Below are 25,735 nucleotides of genomic sequence, written 5' to 3' on the forward strand. Positions count from 1 at the left end.
ATAGCTTGCATTTATTGGGGCTGTATTTGGTGCTACATATCGGGGATCCAAATTAGTTATAATTAGCATAAAAGTGGTACAGATAAAATTATCAGAGGAAGGAAAATTTGCCTCAATTTGCCTCATTTCTTAGGAAGAAATGACAATGCAAAAAACAAAGAGGAGGGTAAATTTAGATGATATTAACATAGTTTTAACAAGACCATTGTGCCATTTGGAATAATGGATTTTCTGGTACAAAAGTAAGTTTTCTGAATTACATTCAAAAGCGATTGTATGCTAAGTAAATTCCTTCAAAACTTGGATCTTTAAAAGTTAAGATAATTGCAAAATGTTATTAGACTATGATGTAGCTCAACAAATGATAGAAATTTGGCAGAAATTATACTAGTAACTTAAGAATGAGGCTGCTACCTTTACAGTGGCATAAGGAAAAATAGGGAAATGTGTCCTAGGGATGTTACACAAAACCATAGTAAAAACCTAGAAATTGGGAGTTAGAAGCTGCTTTGTGTGTTTTTTGTTTTCTGGTTTTTTTTTTTTTTTTTTTTTTGTTTTTGTTTTTTTTTTTGAGACGGAGTCTCCTCTCTTGCCCAGGCTGGAGTGCAGTCACGTGATCTCCGCTGACTGCAAGCTCCGCCTCCCGGGTTCACGCCATTTTCCTGCCTCAGCTTCCCAAGTAGCTGGGACTACAGGTGCCGGCCACTACCCCTGGCTAATTTTTTGTATTTTTAGTAGAGCCGGGGTTTCACCGTGTTAGCCAGGATGGTCTCAATCTCCTGACCTCATGATCCACCCGCCTCGGCCTTCCAAAGTGCTGGGATTACAGGCGTGAGCCACCGCGCCCGGCCTAGAAGCTTCTTTATCATGACCAGGAGTTCCCACATGCAATTGATCATCAGAATTGCTTGGGGAATTCAGGATAATTGGAATCATTTCTGTCAAGAGTTTTCAGTGGTAATTCAAACCATTTAGGAACTTATGGGCTGGTCATGGTGGCTCACACGTGTAATCCCAGCACTTTGGGAGGCTGAGGCAGGCAGATTGCTTGAGGCCAGGAGTTCCAGACCAGCCTGGGCAACATGGTGAAAAGCCCGTCTCTACTAAAATTACAAATATTATCCGGGCATGGTGGTGCGTACCTGTTAGTCCCAGCTCCTCAGTGGGGGCTGAGGCAGGAGGATCACCTGAGCCTTGGGAGGTCAAGGCTGCATTGAGCTGTGATCCTGCTACTGCACTCCAGCCTGAGCTAGGGATTGCCACCCTGTCTCAAAGAAAAAGAACTTGTGGCAGAGTACTTAATGAGAAGTGTACTGGAATGGTGATTCCACATTTACTATAGTCATATGCTAAATTGTGCTTATTGGACTAGTGGATCACAAATATTGGCCATCCCATACCTACTAAACATTCTAGAACCCCTACTTTTCAGAAACTTCCCAAGTAATATAATAGAATGACTAGCTAGGTTTCGAAAGCAAGAATTAAAGACTTAATTCCCCAAGGCTGAAATCTGTACTGTCATCTTAGTAGTTTTCTGCATTAGCAAATCTAGATAAATAATGTGAGAATTGTTTTTTGTTGTTGTTGTTGTTTTGAGACGGAGGACGGAGTTTCACTCTTGTTACTCATACTGGAGTGCAGTGGCATGATCTGAGCTCACTGCAACCTCCGCCTCCTGGGTTCAATCGATTCTCCTGCCCCAGCCTCCCAAGTAGCTGGGATTACAGGCACCCGCCACCACGCCCAGCTAATTTTTTGTATTTTTAGTAGAGATGGGGTTTCACCATGTTGTCCAGGCTGGTCTTGAACTCCTGACCTCAGGTAATCCACCCGCTTCGGCCTCCCAAAGTGCTGGGATTACAGGCGTGAGCTAGTGCACCTGGCTGAAAATTGTTTTTGAGACAGGATCTTGCTTTGTTGCCCAGACTGTGTTGCAGTGGCACGATCAGAGTTCCCTGCAGCCTTGACCTCCTGGGCCAAGGAATCCTCCTGCCTCAGCCTCTGGAATAGTTGGGGCTACAGGCACACGCTACCATACCTGGCTAATTTTTGAAAAATTTTTTTGCTATGTTGTCCAGACTGTTCTTTAACTTCTGGGCTCCAGTGATCCTCCCACTTTGACCTCCCAAAGTGCTGGGATTACAGACATGAGCCACCGTGCCTGGCCCTGTTTTTGTTTTTTAAGATGAGGATTACTTACAAGCAAGCAGCCCTGATGCAGTGTTTACTTTTGTGTGTGTTCTTTTTCTGGTGTTTACCCAGATCCGTTTCCCCCCTTTAAAAAGAAAGAAAAACCACGGTTGTAGTTCTGTAACACTGTCCTCTCCTTCATTCTTTTTCTGGTTCTTGTCTAACCTTCTACATACAGGTAATTCCAATTTTCTGTTCATATCTCTCTTCATTTCTTTTCAGTGTAATGTAGAAGCTCTCAGAGCTTTGCCTGTGACATCTGTGCAGAAGAATTCCTATTGATATCTTTAGACCTCACTTCTCCAGAGCTTTTCCTGATTTTTCTTCTGCCTGCCCGTGTCTTCCCTGGTATATCTTACTGGCTTCCCCAGTTTGACATGTTGTAAATGGAATTATTCCTTACGTGAAGGCCTTACCCCAACTTTCTCTCCTGTTGTTCCTATTTCTTTTCATCATAATTGGCTTTAGTTTGACATTTTCTCTTTCTCCATTTTATAGGCAGTCAATTTATAAACCCCAATGAATTCTGGTTGTGTAGCATCTTTCCCATCTAGGCCAGGGGTTCTCAAAATTTTATATGCATCATAATCAGCTGGAGGTACTGTGAAACAGTTAGTTGTGCCCCACCTTCTAGAGTTTCTGATTCAATGGGTCTGGAGTAGATGTGAGAATTTGCGTTTCTAACAAGTTCCCAGATGATGTGGATGCCCTTGACCCAGTATGGAGTACAGAATGCCTTAAGACGGCATTCAGAACACTAAATAGTCAGTTTTAATCGGCCTTCTCTCCCACTGTGCTTTCCCATATCAGAAGTCAGATTTGGACTTCAGCATACTTGTTACTTAGTAGCTGTGTGATCTTAGGCAAATTGTTTAATTTTCTTTCTTTTATTTATTTTTTTCTTTTTTGAGACAGGAAGTAGTCTTTCTCTGTCACCCAGGCTGGAGTGCAGTAACACGATCTCTGCTCACTGCAGCCTCCGCCTTTCGGGTTCAAGCGATTCTTGTGCCTCAGCCTCCCAAGTAGCTGGGATTAGCCAGCCGCCGGTTTTTTTTGTTTTGTTTGTTTTTTGAGACAGAGTCTTGCTCTTTCGCCCAGGCTGGAGTGCAGTGGCACCGTCTTGGCTCACTGCAACCTCTGCCTCCTGGGTTCAAGCAGTTCTCCTGTCGCAGCCTCCTGAGTAGCTAGGACTACAGGCACCGCCACCACACCCGGCTAATTTTTGTATTTTTAGTAGAGACCGGGTTTCATCATGTTGGTCAGGCTGGTCTCGAATTCCTGACCTCAATTAATCCACCCTCTTCGGCCTCCCAAAGTGCTGGGATTACAGGTGTGAGCCACCATGCCTGGCCCAGCTGCAGGTTTTTTGAGGTCAGGAATCATGTCTTAATTGTCTTTGTACTTCCATCGCGTTTGGAGCGATGTGTCCATTGATAGGCGGTTAGTAAATGTTTGAAAAATTGGTTTATGTTATTTACTCTTCTTTCCCTTTTTTCATTCTTTTCAATTTCTTTGCACCCTTTCCCCTTCTTTCCTTTTTAATGAAAGTTTTAGTAAGCAAAATTATTAGCATACCCAACAATGGTTTGCTTTCCCTCCAACCTGTTGGTAGTGAGTGAGTAGTTAATTCACATTTTATTCCATAAAACGTTTTACTTTTTCTCCAGAGTAATTAAGTAGAAAATATGGCTCTTGGCCAGGCACGGTGGCTCTTGCCTGTAATCTCTGCACGTTGGGAGGCTGAGGTGGGTGGATAATTTGAGGCCAGGCGTTCGAGACCAGCCTGGCCAACATGGTGAAATCCCGTCTCTACTAAAAATACGAAAATCAGCCAGGCATGGTGGCAGGTTCTTGTAGTCCCAGCTACTCGGGAGGCTGAGGCATGAGAATCGCTTGAATCCGAGAGCCAGAGGTTGCAGTGAGCCAAGATCGCACCACTCCATTCTAGCCTGGGCGAAAGAGTGAGACTCTATTTATAAAAAAAGAAAGAAAGAAAAGACCCTTAATGACTTTTTCCCCTCTCTTAAAACCTGGTTGTATTAGTGACTTTGACATACATGTATATTGTTGACTTCGCCGTCTCCTGATGTTACTAATTTGAACAGTGACTATATATTGCCGTTACAGACCAGAAGGGAAAGATTTCAGCATTCATCGACTTGTCCTGGGGACACACACATCGGATGAACAAAACCATCTTGTTATAGCCAGTGTGCAGCTCCCTAATGATGATGCTCAGTTTGATGCGTCACACTACGACAGTGAGAAAGGAGGTAGGAATCTTAAAGGTGAAAGAAGTAAAGATGTGTGGGTCATATCTGTTATGTGCACTTTGATAAAGTAAACTCTGACTTTAGAAACAATATTTAAGGTTGAGGGAAAGCCTGAGTTTGCAATGGTAGGTATTTATATTTATATTAGAGTTTTAGGTATCAGAAGAAATACTTAACACATCCTTGGTTCTGTACCTTCACAATAAACTTTTCTCAGCTGGTGCTGGTGGGGAGGATTTCTGCAATTGAAAGAAGCAAAAATATATATTATTGCTGTACATTCTTGATTTTTTATTTTTTTACTCAGTCTCGCTCTATTGCCTAGGTTGGAGTGTAGTGGCACGATCTTCTCTCACTGCAACCTCCGCCTCCCGGGTTCAAGCGATTCTTCTGCCTCATCCTCCTGAGTAGCTGGGATTACAGGCGCCCGCCACCACGCCTAGTTAATTTTTGTATTTTTAGTGGAGACAGGGTTTCACCAAGTTGGCCAGGCTGGTCTTGAACTCCTGACCTCAGGTGATCCACCCACCTCAGCCTCTCAGAGTGCTGGAATTACAGGCGTGAGCCACTGCACCCATCCATATTGCTATACATTCTTAACACGGGAGATAACTACCCCTAAGGAGGTGAAAATTGGTTTGTGTATGTGAGTAGGTGTAAATAATCTTACTGGTTGATTGTTTAAAGCACAGATATGCACAGAGGACATAGGATATCTATGGTATTAAAATTTCATGGGACTGGTGGGGAGGGAATAGTTCTTAAAAGAGTTCTTAGAGGAGCAATAGTAAAAAAAAAAAAAAGGTTGAGAAACACTAACTTAAATTACCCTTTCTAGGTTTAAAGTGGTAGAAATGACTTAACCATGGCACTCTCTATGTGTATAGAAACTAAGTTCCAATGAGTTGTTTAATTATATCCTGTTTTTAGGCCATAACCTAAGGGTTTAACTGCTCATGAAATGCTTAAACGCTTTCCTTTTTTTTTTTTTGGAGATGGAGTCTCGCTCTGCTGCCCAGGCTGGAGTGCAGTGGCGCGATCTCAGTTCACTGCAACCTCCACCTCCCAGGTTCAAGCGATTCTCCTGCCTCAGCCTCCCAAGCAGCTGGGACTACAGGCATGCACCACCACGCCTGGCTAATTTTTTGTATTTTTAGTAGAGACAGGGTTTCATCATGTTGGTCAGGCTGGTCTCGAACTCCGGACCTCAAATGATCCTCCTGCCTTTTGTTCTTGTTACTGAGGCACAAATACTCTGATTGGTAGTGTGATAAATTGTAAAACTACATATATGTGTGTGTATATATTTATATTGTGTGTGTAAAATTATATGTGTAATTTTACACAATATAAATGTTATATTTATATATAAACATACGTATATATGTATGTATATGTAAAACTACATGCGTGTATATATTGTGTGTAAAATATAGTTATATATAATTTTAGATAATATAAATGTATTATATTTATATATAAATATATAAATTATATATGTAAAACTACATGTGTATATATTTATATTGTGTGTAATATATATAATTTATATATACATATAAATTTTATATATATAAAATATATGTAATTTTACACACACACAATATAAATGTATACACACACATATATGTGGTTTTACATATATATGTAATTTTACACACAATGTAAAAAACGCACCCCTTCTCCCATATAATAAACCTTTCCCTGGCCGGGTGCGGTGAGTCACTCCTGTAATCCCAGCACTTTGGGAGGCTGAGACCAGTGGATCACTTGAGGTCAGGAGTTCAAGACCAGCCTGGCCAACATAGTGAAACCCTGTCTCTACTAAAAATACAAAATTAGCCATGTGCAGTGGCACGCACCTGTAATCCCAGCTACTCAGGAGGCTGAGGCAAGAGCATCACTTGAACCCGGGAGGCAGAGATTGCAGTGAGCCGAGATCTCACCATTGCACTCCAGCCTGGGCAAAAAAAAAAAGGGAAACTCCGTCTCAAAAACAAAACAAAAGAAAAACCTTTCCCCTGGATATCACTTAAATGGATGTATTGTGATGTATTGTTTTCTGAAGGATTTATCCTGTGTATTGGATCACTCATTCAACAAATATGTTGAGTAATTTTGTATGCCAGGTATAGAATATGCAATATAGGTTCATAATTTGCTTTTATGGCCTAATATATCTGGGGCATGTATCTTTGTTAGTAGATGGAGACCTGCCTCCTTTTGATGGCTGTATAGTAGACCATAATTAACTATTCCTTACTGATAGACATTTAGATGGTTTCTAATTTTTTGACTTCAAAAGCATAGTTTTGCTATAGAAATACTTTCTAAGTAGAATGTTGTATCAAAGGGCAGGACCGTTTTTTAATATAATTGATACTGCTAAGTTGCACTCCAGAAAAAGATTTGAAGTCCCACAACAGCGTATGTATTTATGTCTGTTTCTCCATGCCTTTGCCAACACTGGACTCAGTAGAGTTCATTCTCAAGTTTACATTGCTTTTTTTATTTGTGATGTTGAGCTTACATCTCCTGTTTATTTATGTTTTTTGCCCGTATTTCCTTTTGAGTTACCTCTTCATATAAGGTAAATTATACCTTCTCCACCCAATAAATAGGTGCAGATCATTTTCTTGTTTAACTTAAAATCTTAAGTCCTGTTATTGGTTAGAAGCTGTAAGTTGCTTTTTTAATGGAGCCTTGCTCTGTCACCCAGACTGGAGTGCACTGGCATGATCTTAGCTGACTGCAGCCTCCTTATGGGCTCAAACGATCCTCCCACCTATGCCTCCCAAGTAGCTCTGGCTACAGACATACACCACCATACCTGGATTTTTATTTTATTTATTTATTTTTTTTGAGTCGGAGTCTGGCTCTGTCGCCCAGGCTGTAGTGCAGTGGCGCAATCTCTGCTCACTGCAACCTCCGTCTCCCAGATTCAAGCTATTCTCCTGATTCAGCCTCCCAAGTAGCTGGGATTACAGGCGCCCACCACCACACCCAGATAACTTAATTTTTTTTTTTTTTAAGAGATGGCATGTCACTATGTTGCTCAGGCTGATCTGGAACTCTGGCCTCAATCTTCCCACCTCAGACCTCCCATTCAATGATTTCATAAAGTATGTGTTCATCTATTGTTGTCTTCTGGGACTTTTATGTTTGGGCCATTAAAACTTTTGTCATTCTGGTATTTGGTATGGAATCAGAATCCAGCCTTTTTTTCCTAAATGATTGAGTTTTTGTTGTTATTTTGAGGCGGAGTCTTGCTTTGTCACCCAGGCTGGAGTGCAGTCACACAATCCCCGCTTACTGCAACCTCTGCCTCCTGGGCTCAAGCAGTCCTCCTGCCTCAGCGTCCTGAGTAGCTGGGATTGCAGGCATGCGCCACCATGCCCAGCTGATTTCCATTGTATTTTTTGTAGAGAGTAGGTCTCACCACGTTGCCCAGGCTGGTCTGAAAACTCCTGGGCTCTTGCAATTCACCCACTTTGGCTTCCCAAAGTTCTGGGCTTATAGGCATGAGCCACTATACTCAGCCAAAAAAATTTTTTTATTCAGTCAACCATTGATGGACACTTGGGTTGATTTCCGTATCTTTGGTATTGTGAATAATGCTACAGTGAACATACAAGTGCACGTGTCTTTTTTGTAGAACAATTTCTTTTCTTTTGGGTATATTCCCGGTAATGGGATTGCTGGGTTGAATGGTAGTTCTATTTTTAGTTCCTTTTTTTTTTTTTTTGAGATGGAGTGTCACTGTTGTTGCTGGAGTAAAGTGGCGCTATCTCAACTCACTGCACTCTCCGCCTCCCAGGTTCAAGCAGTTCTTCTGCCTCAGCTTCCCGAGTATCTGGGATTACAGTCATGCGCCACCATGCCCAGCTAATTTTGTATTTTTAGTAGAGATGGGGTTTCTCCATGTTGGTCAGGCTGGTCTCGAACTCCCAACCTCAGGTGATCCACCTGCGTCAGCCTCCCAAAGTGCTGGGATTACAGGCGTGACCACCATGCCTGGCCCTGTTTTTAGTTATTTGAGAAATCTCCACAGACTGCTTTTCACAGTTGTTGAACTAATTTGCATTCCCACCAGCAGTGTCTAAGTGTTCCCTTTTCTCTGCAGCCTCACCATGTTATTTTTCAACTTTTTAATAATAGCCATTCTGACTGGTGTGAGAGGCATCTATCTGTTTTGATTTGCATTTTTCTGATGATTGGTGATGTTGATCTTTTTTTTTTCACATTCGTTGTCTGCTTATATGTGTTTTGAGAAGTGTCTGTTCATGTCCTTTGCCCACTTTTTTTTTTTTTTTTTTTTTTTTTTTTTTTTTTTTGAGACAGTCTTGCTCTATCACCAGGCTGGAGTGCAGTGTGGCAATCTCGGCTCACTGCAACTTCCGCCTCTTGGGTTCAAGCGATTCTCCTGCCTCAGCCTCCCAAGTAGCTGGGACTACAGGTCTGTGCCACCACACCCAGCTAATTTTTGTGGTTGTAGTAGAGATGAGGTTTTACTATGTTGGCCAGGATGATCTCCATCTCCTGACATTGCGATCTGCTAGCCTTGGCCTCCCAGAGTGCTGGGATTACAGGCTTGAGCCACCGCGCCCGGGTTTTTTTGTTTTTTTGGGGTTTTGTTTTATTTTTTTAACAAACAGTCTCTCTCTGTCGTCCAGGCTGAGTGCAGTGGTGCGATCTCACTGCAGCCTCCGCCTCCTGGGTTCAAGTGATTCTCCTGCCTCAGCCTCCTGAGTAGCTGGGATTACAGGTACCCGCCACCACACCAGCTAATTTTTGTTGTTGTTGTTGTTGTTGTTGCTTTTTGAGACAGAATTTCACTCTTGTTACCCAGGCTGGAGTGCAATGGTGCAATCTCGGCTCACTGCAACCTCCACCTCCCAGGTTCAAGCAATTCTCCTGTCTCAGCCTCCCGAGTAGCTGGGATTACAGGCATGCACCACCACACCCGGCTAATTTTGTATTTTTTGTAGAGATGGGGTTTCACTACGTTGGCCAGGTTGGTCTCGAACTCCTGACCTCGTGATCCACCTGCCTCAGCCTCCCAAAGTGCTGGGATTATAGGCGTGAGCCACCATGCCCAGCCTAGTTTTGTTTTTTAAGGAAGTGATATCTCAGCCCAGGCGCAGTGGCTGGCGACTGTAATTCCAGCACTTGGGAGGCCGAGGCTTATGGATCACGAAGTCAGGAGTTCAAGACCAGCTTGGCCAACGTGGTGAAACCCCATCTCTACTAAAAATACAAAAATTAGCTGGGCGTGGTGGTGTGTGCCTGTAGTCCCAGCTACTTGGAAGGCTGATGCAGTAGAATCGCTTGAACCCAGGAGGCGGAGGTTGCAGTGAGCCGAGATCGTGCTACTACTGCACTCCAGCCTGGGTGACGAGCAAGACTCGTCTCAAAAAAACATAAAAATAAATAAAAATTAAAAAGTGATGTCTCTAGTCTTTAGTCCAAATTTATAATAAATTATTATATATTTTACTCAAGCTGGTAGATTCTTAGTTGTAAGGTTCATGGACTCAAAAAGTGGCTCAGTGGTAAAAATCACTATGGTGGTTACCTTGTTTGAGGACATAGTATTGACTGGGAAGACACAGTTCATACCTTCTGGTAAGATGGGAATGTTTTATATTTTGACCTGGTGCATACATATATAAAAATTCATCAAGCTACGACGATTTGTGCACCTTTACTATATCATGTTATACCTCACGTTTGTTTTAATAATATTTATATGGAGAGAAGCCAACAAAATAGGAAAGCAAGTTGATACTTCAGCCTTTCTTTTCTACTTCAGATTGGCCTTTTCGCATAACAGCTTCAACACCTATTTATTTATTTTGTATTATATTACTATATATGTATTTTTTCAGACAGGGTCTTACTCTGTTGCCCAGGCTGGAGTGCAGTGGTGTGATCACAGCTCACTGCAGCCGCAGCCTCCCAAGCAGCTAGGACTTATAGGCATGTGCCACCACAGTCAGCCCCTGAAATATTTTTTTTTTTTGAGACAGAGTCTCGCTTTATCGCCCAGGCTGGAGTGTAGTGGCATGATCTCCGCTTACTGCAAGCTCTGCCTCCCAGGTTCACGCCATTCTCCTGCCTCAGGCTCCCGAGTAGCTGGGACTACAGGCGCCTGCCACCATGCCCAGCTAATTTTCTGTATTTTTAGTAGTGACGGGGTTTCACGGTGTTAGCCAGGATGGTCTCAATCTCCTGACCTCGTGATCCGCCTGCCTCGGCCTCTCAAAGTGCTGCGATTACAGGCTTGAGCCACCACGCCTGGCCTTGAAATGTTTTTTAAATGCAATTTTCCATTTCTTTTTTTAACCTGTCAATTTTTTTTTTTTCTTTTTTGAGATGGAGTCTCGCTCTGTTGCCCAGGCTGGTATGCAGTGGCGCGATCTCGGCCCACTGCAAGCTCCGCCTCCTGGGTTCATGCCATTCTCCTGCCTCAGCCTCCCAAGTAGCTGGGACTACAGGCGCCCGCCACCACGCCCGGCTAATTTTTTTTGTATTTTTATTAGAGACGGGGTTTTACCGTGTTAGCCAGCATAGTCTTGATCTCCTGAACCCTGTCAAATTTAACAGTGAGGGATGTGTGCAACTTTGATAACACTGATGTTAATAAGTTCTGATAACCCAGTAACATTGGGCCGGCCCAATTTTCAATTTTGAATACGCTAAGTTCTTACTACTGTGGTTTTCTTTATGGTTTAGGAGGCCTACGTTTAATATCTACTCAATACTGAAATAACCAATGTTATGTAGTGGTTACCCCTTGCTCTGTGGGCTCTGTGCCAACTGTGGCTTCTCCTCCTTTGTTATTGGTGCCTCTTTTCTGGCAGCTATGCTTCTTTTTTTGTTTGTTTGTTTGTTTTTTGAGACAGAGTCTCACTCTGTCGCCCAGACTGGAGTGTAGTCGTGCAATCTTGGTTCAGTGCAACCTCTGCCTCCCGGGTTCAAGCAATTCTCTTGCCTCAGTCTCCTGAGCAGCTGGGACTACAGGCACGTGCCACCATGCCCAGCTAATTTTTGTATTTTTAGTAGAGATGAGGTTTCACCATATTGGCCATGCTGATCTCAAACTCCTGACCTTGTGATCCACCCGTCTCGGCCTCCCAAAGTGCTGGGATTACAGGTGTGAGCCACCGTGCCCAGCCACTTTTTTGGGGGTGGTGGTCATTGGCCTTTGCAGTTGTATATGTGCATATCTCAGAGATATGATGGGGGTTCAGTTCCCAATCACTGCAGTAAAGCAAATATATAAAGCAAACCACACAAATTTTTTGTATGTTTACACTATACTATAGTCTCCTAAACGTGCAATAGCATTATGTCTAAAAAACAATGTACATACCTTAATTTGAAAATACTTCATTGCTAAAAAAAATAATAATAATAATGCAGACACAGAGGCACCAACTGAACACATGTTGGGAAAATGCCACTAATAGACTTAGTGCAGGGTTGCTGTAACCTTCAATTGGGGAAAAAAACTTATGTGTGACGCACAATAAAACGAGCTATGCCTGTACTTAGACTGAAGTTTCTTGAGGTACGTACCATATATGCCTTGTTTTTTCATAGATTGTAGATGCTTGTGGGCTGGAGTTATGGAAAAAATTAGGGATTTTTTCTCCTTTAGAATCTATCTTGAATTTTTATTTTTAGGTTTTTAGCCTGTGTGAAACATTTTGCTTTTCAAAAGTTATTTTGAAGTTGAAAGTTATCTAATACGCCAGCCATACCACCCATGTATATCTTTGCTTTCTGAAAAGATGTTTGTCCTTCAAAGAATAACACTAGGCCCGGCCCAGTGGCTCTCTCCTGTAATCCCAGCACTTTGGGAGGCTGAAGCGGGTAGATTATCTGATGTCAGGAGTTCAAGACCAGTCTGGCCAACATGATGAAACCCCGTCTCTACTAAAAATGCAAAAATTAGCTGGGCGTCATGGCACATGGCTGCAGTCCCAGCTACTCAGGGGGCTGAGGCAGGAGAATCGCTTGAACCCAGGAGGCAGAGGTTGCAGTGAGCCGAGATCGTGCCATTACACTCCAGTCTGGGTGACAGAGCAAGACCCTGTCTTTAAAAAAAAAAAAAAAAAGCACTATATAGCAATGCAATTGACAGAATATTTTTATTTATTTTTAAGTTACTCTCACAACTTCTTTGCTTTGTGGATAAGGTATTTGATGCTCAGAGAAACTGAAGGCCTTCCCTGAATCACCAAACTAAGTAAGTGACAGAGCCACTTAGGGGCCTGGGTCTGACTCTTACTTTGGAACTTTTGCAACCGTACCATGCTGCCTTCTATTATTCTTTGATCATTAACTACCTTTATTTATATATTGCTTTGCCAAGATTTACATAATCACACATTATATTGTTATATATACTATAATGGTACTTGAGAGAACTCTCTAAGTGCACATAGTAGTCATGTGTGAATAAAAAATGTTTTCATCTAGTTGTTGCCTACCTGGTTTATTTCAACCAGGGACTTTTGTTGGCATGTGTAAGTGGGTGTAGCAAAATGGAACTGGCTGCTGTGGCTCTGTTTTTCCTCACTGAAATAAAAGAAACACTGTAAGGAGAAGATAAACGGCATGATGGTATTTCAGAACATTCATCCCAAGCTAGAGCTTCATACAAGCAATGCAAGAAGGGCACTTTAGTGTTTAGCACACTGTGTACTTAATATTCATTATAGTAGTAGCATTGGTTTTATTTATTCAGCATACTTATTTACACTTTGAAATTTGAAAACTTTATTTTTTTTTTTTTTGAGACGGAGTCTTGCTCTGTGACCCAGGCTGGAGTGCAGTGGCACGATCTCGGCTCACTGCAACCTCCGCCTCCCAGGTTCAAGCAATTCTGTCTCAGCCTCCCCAGTAGCTGGGGACTACAGGCGCCTGCCACGACGCCCAGCTAATTTTTGTATTTTTAGTAGAGACGGGGTTTTACCATATCGGTCAGGCTGGTCTCGAACTCCTGACCTCAGGTGATCTGCCCGCTTCAGCCTCCCAAAGTGCTGGGATTACAGGCGTGAGCCACTGCGCCTGGCTGAAAACTTTATTAAGATCTGTTTTTGAAGTATGTGGGCGAAGGATTACCCAGGTGCCGAGGCAAGAGACTGAAGGCACAAACTGTTTCAGTATAATAAAGAAAATAGTTAGAATAAGAATAGTTAAAATACAAAGTAGATATAGAGATGATCATGGACATTATCAATCATTAGTATAAACATTATTAATCATCAACTTTTAATATTACTCTTTGTTGTATTACTAATATAACCAAGGAATAACCGGCAGGTATAGGATGAGGTGCTGAAGGGACATTGTGAGAAGTGACCTAGAAGGCAAGAGGTGAGCCCTCTGTCACGCCCGCATAAGGGCCACTTGAGGGCTCCTTGGCAAGCGGTAACACCATTGCCTGGGAAGGTACCCATTACTTAGCAGACTGTGAAAGGGAGCCTCCCTTCCCTTGGAGTCAGGGAACACTCTGCTCCACCAACCAGCTTCTTGTGGGAGATTGGATATTATCCAGGCCTGCCCACAGTCATCCGGAGGCCTAAACCCCTCCTTGTGGTGCTGTGCTTCAGTGGTCATGCTCCTTGTCCACTTTCATGTTCCTCCCGTACTCCTGATTCCTCTTTGAAGTTGCTAGAGGATAGCAGTAGAAAAAATAGTGAAAGTCTTAAAGTCTTTGATCCTTCTGATAAGTGCATAGAAGAAAACGCTGACGTATGCTGCCTTACCTCTCTGCTTCAGCTGCCTGAAAGGGAAGGGCCCCTGTCCCATGATCATGTGACTTGCTTGACCTTATCAATCACTTGGACGACTCATCCTCCTTACCTCGCCCCCTTGTCTTGTATGCAATAAATATCAGCGCACCCAGCCATTTGGGGCCACTGCCGGTCTCTGCGTCTTGGTGGTAGTGGTCCCCCAGGCTCAGGTGTTTTCTCTTTATCTCTTTTGTCTTGTGTCTTTATTTCTTATGATCTCTCATCTCCGCACACGGGGAGAACACCCGCTAAGCCCCGTAGGGCTGGACCCTACATCAGTAGAATTCTAGTTTTCCTTAATTTCAGATAGTAATATAATACAGCCATCCCTCAGAATCCGTGGGGAATTGTTTCCAAGACCTCCTTTGGATACCAAAATTCACAGATGCTGAAGTCTCTGATACAGCATGGCATAATGTTTACACATAACCTATGCAGATCTTCTCATATACTTTAAAATGTCTCTAGATTACCTATAATACCTAATATAATGTAAATGTTATATAAATAGACTATATTGTTCGGGGATAATGATGAGGGGGAAATCTGTACATGTTCAATACATATGCAATGTTTTTCTGAATATTTTCAATTAATGGCTAGTTGAATTCATGGATAAAGAACCCACTGATATGGAGAGCTGACTGTATTTCTTATTAGTTATTTAACTACCTGGAGTCACGGGGGTAGGAAAGCACTTTATAGTGCTAGCAAATGTATAGATTACATCTAGTATTATGCCAGTTTGTTGCTAAGGAAAAAAAATCCTTTCCTGTGTTCTTATACTCTGGGTAACCTCTAGAGTAGCTCTTGTTTTGTCCTCATTTGCAATTAATTTATTCACAGAATTTGGAGGTTTTGGTTCAGTTAGTGGAAAAATTGAAATAGAAATCAAGATCAACCATGAAGGAGAAGTAAACAGGGCCCGTTATATGCCCCAGAACCCTTGTATCATCGCAACAAAGACTCCTTCCAGTGATGTTCTTGTTTTTGACTATACAAAACATCCTTCTAAACCAGGTATGTGCCCTTTTCTATTCAAATACAAATGAGTCACTATAGAAATACATGGTTCCACTCACTGTGAGTTTAATTGCATGTTACTCTGTGTAATTTAACATCTTGTGATTTGTATTGATATGTGTATATTTTTCTTCATTTTGCCTCCATGAAAAAATAATGCTTTTTTACATAGAACAAAATACTGGTGCTGTTTAAGCATTATCTATTTGATCATAACGGTTCCTATATCATTTATAAATGTTAAGAGCTTTAGACATCTTGACCAAAATTCCATTATGCTCAGTAGGCCCAGAGAGCCAGTGGACTGGGTAGTCTTGATGTGTCTGTCACTTTGCAGATCCTTCTGGAGAGTGCAACCCAGACTTGCGTCTCCGTGGACATCAGAAGGAAGGCTATGGGCTTTCTTGGAACCCAAATCTCAGTGGGCACTTACTTAGTGCTTCAGATGACCATGTGTGTATCCTTCCCATTTTGAAGCAAATCTGGGCTAGTTACCAGTTGGTTTCTTTTTTGGGGTGTGTGGGGAGGTGAGAATCTTCCTTTTATATAATGGTTAATTTTACATTTAAGACCATCTGCCTGTGGGACATCAGTGCCGTTCCAAAGGAGGGAAAAGTGGTAGATGCGAAGACCATCTTTACAGGGCATACGGCAGTAGTAGAAGATGTTTCCTGGCATCTACTCCATGAGTCTCTGTTTGGGTCAGTTGCTGATGATCAGAAACTTATGATGTGAGTAGAATCCATTCAGAGTTTCTAAATATCTTGTCTAAGTTTTATGTTTAGTCACCATTTCAAGGTTTTTTTCCTTTGTTTTTTTTTCACTGAAGTTGGGATACTCGTTCAAACAATACTTCCAAACCAAGCCACTCAGTTGATGCTCACACTGCTGAAGTGAACTGCCTTTCTTTCAATCCTTATAGTGAGTTCATTCTTGCCACAGGATCAGCTGACAAGGTCAGTTTCGTTTATTTTAATAGAAAACATAATTTCTCTAGGTTTTTTTGAATTGCAGAGATATTTTACTTACAGTATTTTTTTTTTCTTAAAAAATTGATTACTCTTGCTTTTCTTTTTGTACATAGACTGTTGCCTTGTGGGATCTGAGAAATCTGAAACTTAAGTTGCATTCCTTTGAGTCACATAAGGATGAAATATTCCAGGTAAGAGAAACTAATGCTACTATTTTGTTTGTTTTAAGAAAAACCTGCTGGGCGCGGTCGCTCACGCCTGTAATCCCAGCACTTTGGGAGGCTGAAGCGGGCGGATCACAAGGTCAGGAGATCGAGACCATCCTGGCTAACACGGTGAAACCCTGTCTCTACTAAAAATATAAAAAATTAGCCGGGCATGGTGGCGGATGCCCGTAGTCCCAGCTACTCGGGAGGCTGAGGCAGGAGAATGGCATGAAACCCGGGAGGCAGAGGTTGCAGTGAGCCGAGATTGTGCCACTGCACTCTAGCCTGGGCGACAGAACGAGAGTCCGTCTCAAAAAAAAAGAAAAAAGAAAAACCTGGATGTATGAGTGGGCACACATGTGCTTTATGCCGTTGCTAAAAATAGAAATCTATATGCCTATGCTACTTTCTGTGGGAATTGTTTTTTCTTTGTTATTTCTATACTTTCTCAAACTGGTTATTGACCACTTACATTCTTCAGATATTAAGAAAACTAGGCCAGGTATGGTAGCTTATGCCTGTAATCCCAGCACTTTAGGAGGCTGAGATGGGTGGATTGCTTGAGGCCAGGAGTTTGAGACCAGCCTGGCCAACCCTGTCTATTTTTTAATAAAAATTTACAAAGAAAGGAAAACTAGTGCCTGATTATTTTTTCAGCCTTGTTTCTGACACTTAGTGATCTCTTCCCTTCTTCCAATATATTCTTCATCCTTCATTACTTGCCACATGTGTTGATTTCTCAACCCAAGCCTCAACCTCTGGCTCCATATTTTCTACCTCATCAGTTTAAACCCATTTATGCCTAGTGTTCCATTATTGGAACGCTAAGCATGTGGGAGTTTATATCCTGCTCAAGGTTATCGCCCAGGTCTGATTGCAAAAATTAAAAAAAGAAATAATCACTGCACTATGTTCAAAGCTTGTTGCTACGGCACTATGAAAGATTACGTTATGTAGCCTTTGCTATCAAGGAGCCCCCAATTTTTTTATTTTTTTTTAATTAATTTTTTTGAGACGGCATTTTGCTCTTGTTGGCCAGGCTGGAGTGCAATGGTGCAATCTCGGCTCACTGCAACCTCCACTTCCCAGGCTAAAGGGATTCTCCTGCCTCAGCCTCCCAAAGTGCTGGGATTACAGGCGTAAGCCACCACGCCCAGCCGAGCCCAAAATTTTATAGTGAGGGAGGGCTTGTTTAGAAATTACTATAATAAAAGATTTTGTCAAGTGTTATGAACCTGAGGGTGGTAAAGATTAATTCTGGTGTGTGAAGGTGGCGTCTGAACTGGGCTTTAGGTGAGCCATACTCCTACATACTTAGTCTCTTATTTTCTACTTTTCAGCCCACCTTGGTGAACATTTTATCCTTACCCTATCTCTTTGCTTTGCTTGTGACGGTATTCTTGCCTGGACAGAATCCAAATTCTTCCTTAATTGCTGGTCACTAATGCCCTCTTTTTCTGTACCTTAAGGCTAGGTAGCACTTTTACCATATTTGGTAGCAAACTCTGATTGTTGGATATATAGTAGTAAATTTTTTGTCTGACTCTTTAATAAAATTATTGCATGGAGTCATTTTTAATCAGACTTATATGTAATACAGAACTCATAGTAAATACTTGGGGACATAGTTATTGTATATGTCATCTGTACTTTAGTTCTTAGGTCAGAATTGGATTGCATTTGGGTAGAGGCCAGAATTAGCAAATAAGAATAGACAAGATGTAGGCCGGGCACGATGGCCCATGCCTGTAATCTCAGCGCTTTGGGAGGCCGAGGCGGGTGGATCATGAGGTCAGGAGTTTGAGACCACCCTGACCAACATGGTGAAACCTCGTCTCTAATAAAAATACAAAAATTAGCCAGGCATGGTGGTGCACGCCTGTAATCCCAGCTACTTAAGAGGCTGAGGCAGGAGAATCGCTTGAACATGGGAGGAGGAGATTGCAGTGAACTGAGATCACCCCACAAGAACAGACAAGATGTGATGTTTCCAAAGATAAAATGATGCTGGGCACATGGCACACACCTCCAGCTACGCAGGAGGTTGAGGCAGCGAGATCCCTTGAGCCCAAGAGTTCAAGTCCAGCCTAGAAGCAATATAGCGAGGCCTCATCTCTTTTTTTTTTTGATACCAGCCTAACCCCATCTCTACACAAATACAAAAATTAGCTGGCCGTGGTGGCGGACACCTGTAATCCCAGCTACCTGGGAGGCTAAGGTGGGAGAGTCGCTTGAACCTGGGAGGTGGAGGTTTCAGTGAGCTGAGATCCTGCCATTGTACTCCAGCCTGGGTGACAGAGCAAGACTTCCGTCTCAAGAAAAAGTGTGCCAAAGGGGTGCTGTGGGAATGGAACAAAAGCTTATATCCTGGGTCTAGAAATGTCTAGTAATGGGTTGTTTTTGTAAACATTTTTTTTTTGTTTTTCTTTTTGTTTGTTTTTGAGAGAGTCTGTCACCCAGGCTGGAGTGCAGTGGCACGATCTCAGCTCCAACCTCTGCTTCCTGGGTTCAAGCAATCCTCCTGCCTCAGCCTCCCGAGTAGCTGGGATTACAGGCGCCTGCCACCACACCCAGCTAATTTTTGTATTTTTAGTAGAGACAGTGTTTCACCATGTTGGTTAGGCTGATCTTGAACTCCTGACCTCATGTGATCCACCCGCCTCCCAAAGTGCTGGGATTACAGGTGTGAGCCAACCGCGCCTGCCCATAAAATAAATTCTTTAGCTCTTAATTTTAACTGTAACGTGTATAATACCTTGACTTCCTCTTCCCTTTTATTTACAAAATTTTTAAATTGTTAAATATTTTGTGAATTTTTTCCCTTTATTTTCTAATTCATGGCTTTGCTCTTTTCTTCATTCCTATGTGTAGGTTCAGTGGTCACCTCACAATGAGACTATTTTAGCTTCCAGTGGTACTGATCGCAGACTGAATGTCTGGGATTTAAGGTAATTCTTGTATTCATTCCTCTCTCTACATAATTATTTCCTTTATTTACACTTTGCAAAGGTAGTTACTAAGGGTAAATCTGTTTTAACTTTTAAAATTATGCTTTTGTACTAGTAAAATTGGAGAGGAACAATCCCCAGAAGATGCAGAAGACGGGCCACCAGAGTTGTTGGTATGTTAAAAGCATTGGACAGTACTGAAATAGTCTGTAATTTAATGTCCTCTATCTGCATTTCACCTCTTTGTTTTCTTCCCTCTTTCAGTTTATTCATGGTGGTCATACTGCCAAGATATCTGATTTCTCCTGGAATCCCAATGAACCTTGGGTGATTTGTTCTGTATCAGAAGACAATATCATGCAAGTGTGGCAAATGGTAAGGGTTTAGTAATTTATTTTGGGGAGGTGAAATAAGTGAGACATAGAATCAATTTACATTTGTATATTTTATGATTACAGCTACCATCTCTGTTCATTTTACTCCCAGGTGTGATTTTAAGACTTGTCTATACATTATCATTTTCAGCTGCCTGCTCTTGACTGTATTTGGTCATACCACTGGTATTTTAAACTCTGCTAAACAAAACTGACCCTCTCTCCCACTTCTCCTTTTCCCTCTCCTCCTTCTTTCTTTCTTTTTGTATGACTCCAACATTTTCCTAGCTAACCAGACTTGAAAACTCAAGAATTTTCCATGTCTGTTTACTTCTAGTTCTAGTTCACTTCCAGATTTCATACCATCTATCTGCGGTGTTTCTCCCATCTTATCATCTTACAAGTACAAATTTACATACCCAAAGGAGGTATATCATATCACAGCATCAAATACTACTATTTCTCCATGAAAGCTGTCTAGATTTCAAAAATGTTCCCTATCTCTATCTCAAAGAATGTGAACACCCTCCTTAAATTTTCTCTTTTTTTTTTTTTGAGATGGTCTCTCACTTTTTCACCCAGGCTGGAGTGCAATGGTGCAATCTCGGCTCACTGCAACTTCCACCTCCCAGGTTCGATCGATTCTCCTGCCTCAGCCTTCTGAGTAGCTGGGACTATAGGTGCGTACCACCATGCCTGGCTAATTTTTTTGTATTTTCAGTAGAGACGGTTTCACTATGTTGGCCAGGCTGGTCTCAAACTCCTGACCTTGTGATCCGCCCACCTCGACCTCCCGGAGTGCTGGGATTGCAGGCATGAGCCACCGCGCCTGGCCTCTTAAATTTTCAAAGCACTTCAATTTAATAAAAATAACTGTGGTGTCTCATACATTAATATTTTTAAAATAGTTATATTCGGCCGAGCACGTTGGCTCACGCCTGTAATCCCAGTACTCTGGGAGGCCGAGGCGGGTGGATCACGAGGTCAGGAGATCGAGACCATCCTGGCTAACACAGTGAAACCCCATCTGTACTAAAAATACAAAAAAAAATTAGCCGGGCGTGGTGGCGGGCGCCTGTAGTCCCAGCTCCTCAGGAGGCTGAGGCAGGAAAATGGCGTGAACACGGGAGGCGGAGCTTGCATTGAGCCAAGATTGCGTCACTGCACTCTGGCCTGGGCGACAGAGCGAGACTCCGTCTCAATTAAAATATATATATGTATATATTCCGGAGATAGGTGGTGGTTATGGTTAATGCAGTGTGAGTGTACTTAATGCCACTGAACTGTACACTTAAAATGGCTAAGCTGATAAATTTTATGTTGTATGGAGTTTGCGACAATTTGGAGGTGGAAGACAGTTTCTTGCTCTGTTGTTCAGGCTACAGTGCAGTGGTGCGATTACAGCTCACTGCAGCCTCCAATTCCCGGGCTCAAGACATCCTCCTACCTCAGCCTCCCTAGTAACTGGGACCACAGGTGTGCATCACCAGCCCTGGTTAATTTTTAAAATTTTTTGTAGAGATGGGGTTTGCCATGTTGGCCAGTCTGGTCTTGAACTTGTGAGCTCAAGCGATTTGCCCACCTCCCAGAGTGCTGGGAGTACATGTGTGAGGCTGCCCACCCGCCCCCCACTTTTTTTTGTTTTTAAAGAAGTGCGTAACTTGGTGGTTGTCTGGTAAAGGAAAAGAATTCAGAAGAAACTTGGTGTCTCTCAGAGTAGATCTAGTACCAGGAATTAAGTTCCAGGGAATAGTTTTTGACTCATCATGAGGAGAGGGAGGATGTTTTCATCAGTACTTTCTTACTTTTTATTTCTTTATTTTTTTTTTAATTTTTTTTTTTTCTGAGACAGAGTCTCACTGCCTCACCCAGGCTGGAGTTCAGTAGAGCAATCTCAGCTCACTGCAACCTCTGCCTCCCAGGTTCAAGCAATTCTCCTGCCTCAGCCTGCTGATTAGCTAGGATTACAGGCATGCACCACCATGCCCGGCTAGTTTTTTTGTTGTTGTTTTTTATTTAGTAGAGACGGGGTTTCACCATGTTGGTCAGGGTGGTCTCGATCTCCTGACCTCATGATCCGCCCTCTTTGGCCTCCCAAAGTACTGGAATTACAGACGTGAGCCACCGTGCCCGGCATTTTTATTTTTGAGACGGAGTTTTGTTCTTATTTTCCAGCCTGGAGTGCAATGGTGCGATCTTGGCTCTCTGCAACCTCCGCCTCCTGGGTTCAAGCGATTCTCCTGCCTCAGCCTCCCGAGTAGCTGAGATTACAGGCATGCGCCACCACGCCTGGCTAAATTTTTGTAATTTTTTTTAGTAGAGACTGGGTTTCTCCATGTTGGTCAGGCTGGCCTCGAACTCCTGACCTCAGGTGATCTGCCTGCCTCGGCCTCCCAAAGTGCTGGAATTACAGGCGTGAGCCACCGCGCCTGGCGTAATAGCACTATTAATTGAAGACAGAAATAAAATAAGTTTGTGACCTGCCAGACTAACAGATTGTACTACATCCATACTTTTTTTTTCTTTTACCTCCAAATACCATCACAACATTCATACTTTGTAACATTACTTATCAAAAAGAAGGATGGGCCAGGTGCGGTGGCTCACGCCTGTACTCCCAGCACTTTGGGAGGCCGAGGCGGGTGGATCACAAGATCAGGAGATTGAGACCATCCTGGCTAACATGGTGAAACCCCGACTCTACTAAAAATACAAAAAATTAGCCGGGCGTGGTGGCGGGCGCCTGTAGTCCCAGCTACTCGGGAGGCTGAGGCAGGAGAATGGCGTGAACCCGGGAGGCAGGACTTGCAGTGAGCCGAGATCGTGCCACTGCACTCTAGCCTGGGTGACAGGGCGAGACTCTGTCTCAAAAAAAATAATAAAAATAAATTTAAAAAGTATGATTAGGGGCTGTGCTCAGTGGCTCACACCTGTAATCCAAATACTTTGGGAGGCCAAAGCCGGAGGATCACTTGAGCCCAGAAGTTCTAGACTAGCCTGGGCAATAAAGTGAGACCGTGTCTCTACCAAAAAAAAATTAGCCAGGCTTGGTGGTACGTGCCTGTGATCCCAGCTACTTGGGAGGCCGAGGCAGGAGGATACCTTGAATCCAGCGGGTAGAGGCTGCTGTGAGACATGGTGGCATGTGCCTTTAGTCCCTGCTCTTTGGGAGGCCGTGACAGAAGGATCCCTTGAGGCCAGGAGTTTGAGGCTACAGTGGGCTGTGATCACACCACTGCACTCCAGCCTAGATGACATAGCGAGACCCTGTCTCTAAAGGAAGAAAAGAAAGAAGTACGGTTAGGGTTATAAGATATTCATGACATGCTGTTAAAGGGGAAGCGCAGACTGAAGAATAGCATAATGGTATTCCTCATATTAAAATTTTGTGTATCTAGTCTATATTTAGAAAGCTGATTACTGGCCAGGTGTGGTGGCTCACGCCTGTAATTCCAACACTTTGGGAGGCCGAGGTGGGCAGATCACCTGAGGTCAGTAGTTTGAGACCAGCCTGGTCAACATAGTGAAACCCCATCTCTACTAAAAAATAAATACAAAAATTAGCCAGGCATGGTGACGGGCGCCTGTAATCCCAGCTACTTGGGAGGCTGAGGCAGGAGACTTGTTTGAACCCAGGAGGCGGAGGAGTTGCGGTGAGCCAAGATCGCACCATTGCACTCGAACATGGGCAACAAGAGCAAAACTCCATCTCAAAAAAAAAAAAAAAAGAAAAAGAAAAGCTGTTTGCTAAAATGTGCTTGGTACCTAGTTCTTGGTTTCTTTAGACCTTTCTGTATTATAATTTTTTTACAAAAAAGATGTGTAACTTGAAAACAGAAAATTCACCTCACTCTCTTTGTAATAAATCCCTTCAATATTAATACAGAAACTTAATAGCTGGGCGTGATGGCACGTACCTGTAGTCCCAGTTCCTTGGGAGGCTGAAGTGGGAGGCTAGCGTGATCCCAGGAGGCAGAGGTTGCAGTGAGCTAAGATGGCGCCACTGCACTCCAGCCTGGGTGACAGAGCGAGACCCTGTCTCAAAAAAAAAATACTGAAGAATTCAAGGTTAAACTAGATCCCTGCAAGGCCATCACCTCCATTCCAAGTTGTTACTTTATTTGGTGTTTTTAGCATTGTAATAGAGTAAGTAAATATTTGGTCTTTGTCCCAGTTCTTGGCACAGAGCTCTCCAAAAACACTCGGAGTTTGCAGAGTGCTAGGAGTGTCTTTGTCGTTCCTAGTGATCCACTTTGGACCACACCTGAGTTTGTTCTACTGTGAGGTGATTTTGGTGGGGCCCCTAGATAGCCTCATAGTTGGTTTAGTCAGAAAGGCCAATCACTTGATTTGAGGGTTAAAACTTGTCGGCCCACTTGCCAACCTTGGGGTTGCAGGGCCAGAGATTGAACTCTATAAAAACTCCTAATTTGATGTGCTTCTGGATTGGTGAACAACTCGACATACTGGGTGGGTAGCATGCCCAGAGACTTGATGGAAACTCTGCAGCCCCTCCCCACCTTGCCGTATGCATCTCTTCCATGTGGTTCCTCAGTTGTATCCTTTATTTAAAAAAAAAAACAAAACAAAAAACAAACAAAAAACAGTAATAGTAAAAAGCTTTCTTGGGTTCTGTGAGTCATTCCATCAAATTATCAGACCTGAGGAGGCAGTAGTGGGAACCCTGAAATTTGTAGTCAAGTGGGATAGAAGTGTGCAGGTAGCCTGGGACCAGGGAATTGCAACTGGCTTCTGAAGTAAGGACAGTCTTCTCCAAAGCTAACTTCAGATAGTGTCAGAATAGGATTGAGTTGTACACCCAGTTGGTGTCCTAAGAAAGGGTACCCCACATTTGGTGTTAGAAGTAACGTCAGAAAGCATCACACAATTGTATGTATTCTTTTCTCTGGGGTCAGATCACAAGCTCTTTGAAGGTAAGACTATCCTGTCCTCTGCAGTACCTATCATAGTGATATGTGCATGGTAGGTGCTAAGAGCAGTAAATTTTGCTCCTGTGAAAGTGGTTCCTGTATTTTAAGATTATGCCGTTGGATACAGGTATTCTGTCAAGCAGTAGAAGTAGAGTTTATTCTATACAAGAACAGTTTTTCTCTTCAATATATAGAGATTCGGAACATATTGTTTTGGAAGTTTTAAGTGTGCAGTTCAGCAGTCTTCAGTGTATTTACAGTTGTGCAACCATCAACCACAGTCAATTTGAGAACATTTTCATCATCTGAAAAAGAAACCCTGTACCCATTAGCCATCATTTCCTATTTTTCTCATAGTCCCCCAGCCCTAGGCAGCCACCAAGCTATGGATTTGCCTGTTTTGGACCCCTGTTTTTTTTAGACGAAGTCTTGCCCCCCAGGCTGGAGTGCAGTGGTGTGATCTTGGCTCACTGCAACCTCCGCCTCCTGGGTTCAAGCGATTCTCCTGCCTTAGCCTCCCAAATAGCTGGGATTACAGGCGCCTGTCACCACGCCTGGCTAATTTTTATATTTTTAGTAGAGACAGCGTTTCACCATGTTGGCCAGGCTGGTCTCGAACTCCTGACCTCAGGTGATACGCCTGCCTTGGCCTCCCAAAATGCTGGGATTACAGGCGTGTGCCACCACACCTGGCCTGGACACCTTATATAAATAAAATCCTAAAGTATGTGACAGCTTTTTTTTTTTTTTTTTTTTTTTTTTTTTTTTTTTTTTTTGGCACACAGTCTTGCTTTGCCACCCAGGCTGGAGTGCAGTGGTGCAATCTTGGCTCACTACAACCACCACCTCCCAGGTTCAATCAATTCTTATGCCTCAGCCTCCCAAGTAGCTGGGACCACAGGGGTGCACCCCCACACATGGCTGATTTTTGTATTTGTAGTAGAGATGCAGTTTCGCCTTGTTGGTCAGGCTAGTCTCAAACTCATGACCTCAAGTGATCTGTCTGCCTC

The 25,735-nt window shown here is 42.9% G+C and overlaps 1 protein-coding gene across 3 annotated transcripts in view; it reads left to right on the plus strand.

The window, feature by feature from the left end:
• The window catches only part of RBBP4 (RB binding protein 4, chromatin remodeling factor), a 35,004-nt gene that overhangs the window by 1,899 nt on the left and 7,370 nt on the right, over window positions 1-25,735 (plus strand). For all 3 annotated transcript variants that reach the window (NM_005610.3, NM_001135255.2, NM_001135256.2), the window contains exons 3-11: window positions 4,321-4,466; window positions 15,119-15,292; window positions 15,633-15,748; window positions 15,866-16,026; window positions 16,125-16,251; window positions 16,380-16,457; window positions 19,344-19,420; window positions 19,536-19,593; window positions 19,685-19,795. In NM_005610.3, the coding sequence (NP_005601.1) occupies window positions 4,321-4,466; window positions 15,119-15,292; window positions 15,633-15,748; window positions 15,866-16,026; window positions 16,125-16,251; window positions 16,380-16,457; window positions 19,344-19,420; window positions 19,536-19,593; window positions 19,685-19,795 (1,048 nt within the window). The remainder of the gene's footprint in view (window positions 1-4,320; window positions 4,467-15,118; window positions 15,293-15,632; window positions 15,749-15,865; window positions 16,027-16,124; window positions 16,252-16,379; window positions 16,458-19,343; window positions 19,421-19,535; window positions 19,594-19,684; window positions 19,796-25,735) is intronic.

The sequence above is a fragment of the Homo sapiens genome, chromosome 1 (genome assembly GCF_000001405.40).
Source record: "Homo sapiens chromosome 1, GRCh38.p14 Primary Assembly".
Classification (NCBI taxonomy): domain Eukaryota; kingdom Metazoa; phylum Chordata; class Mammalia; order Primates; family Hominidae; genus Homo; species Homo sapiens.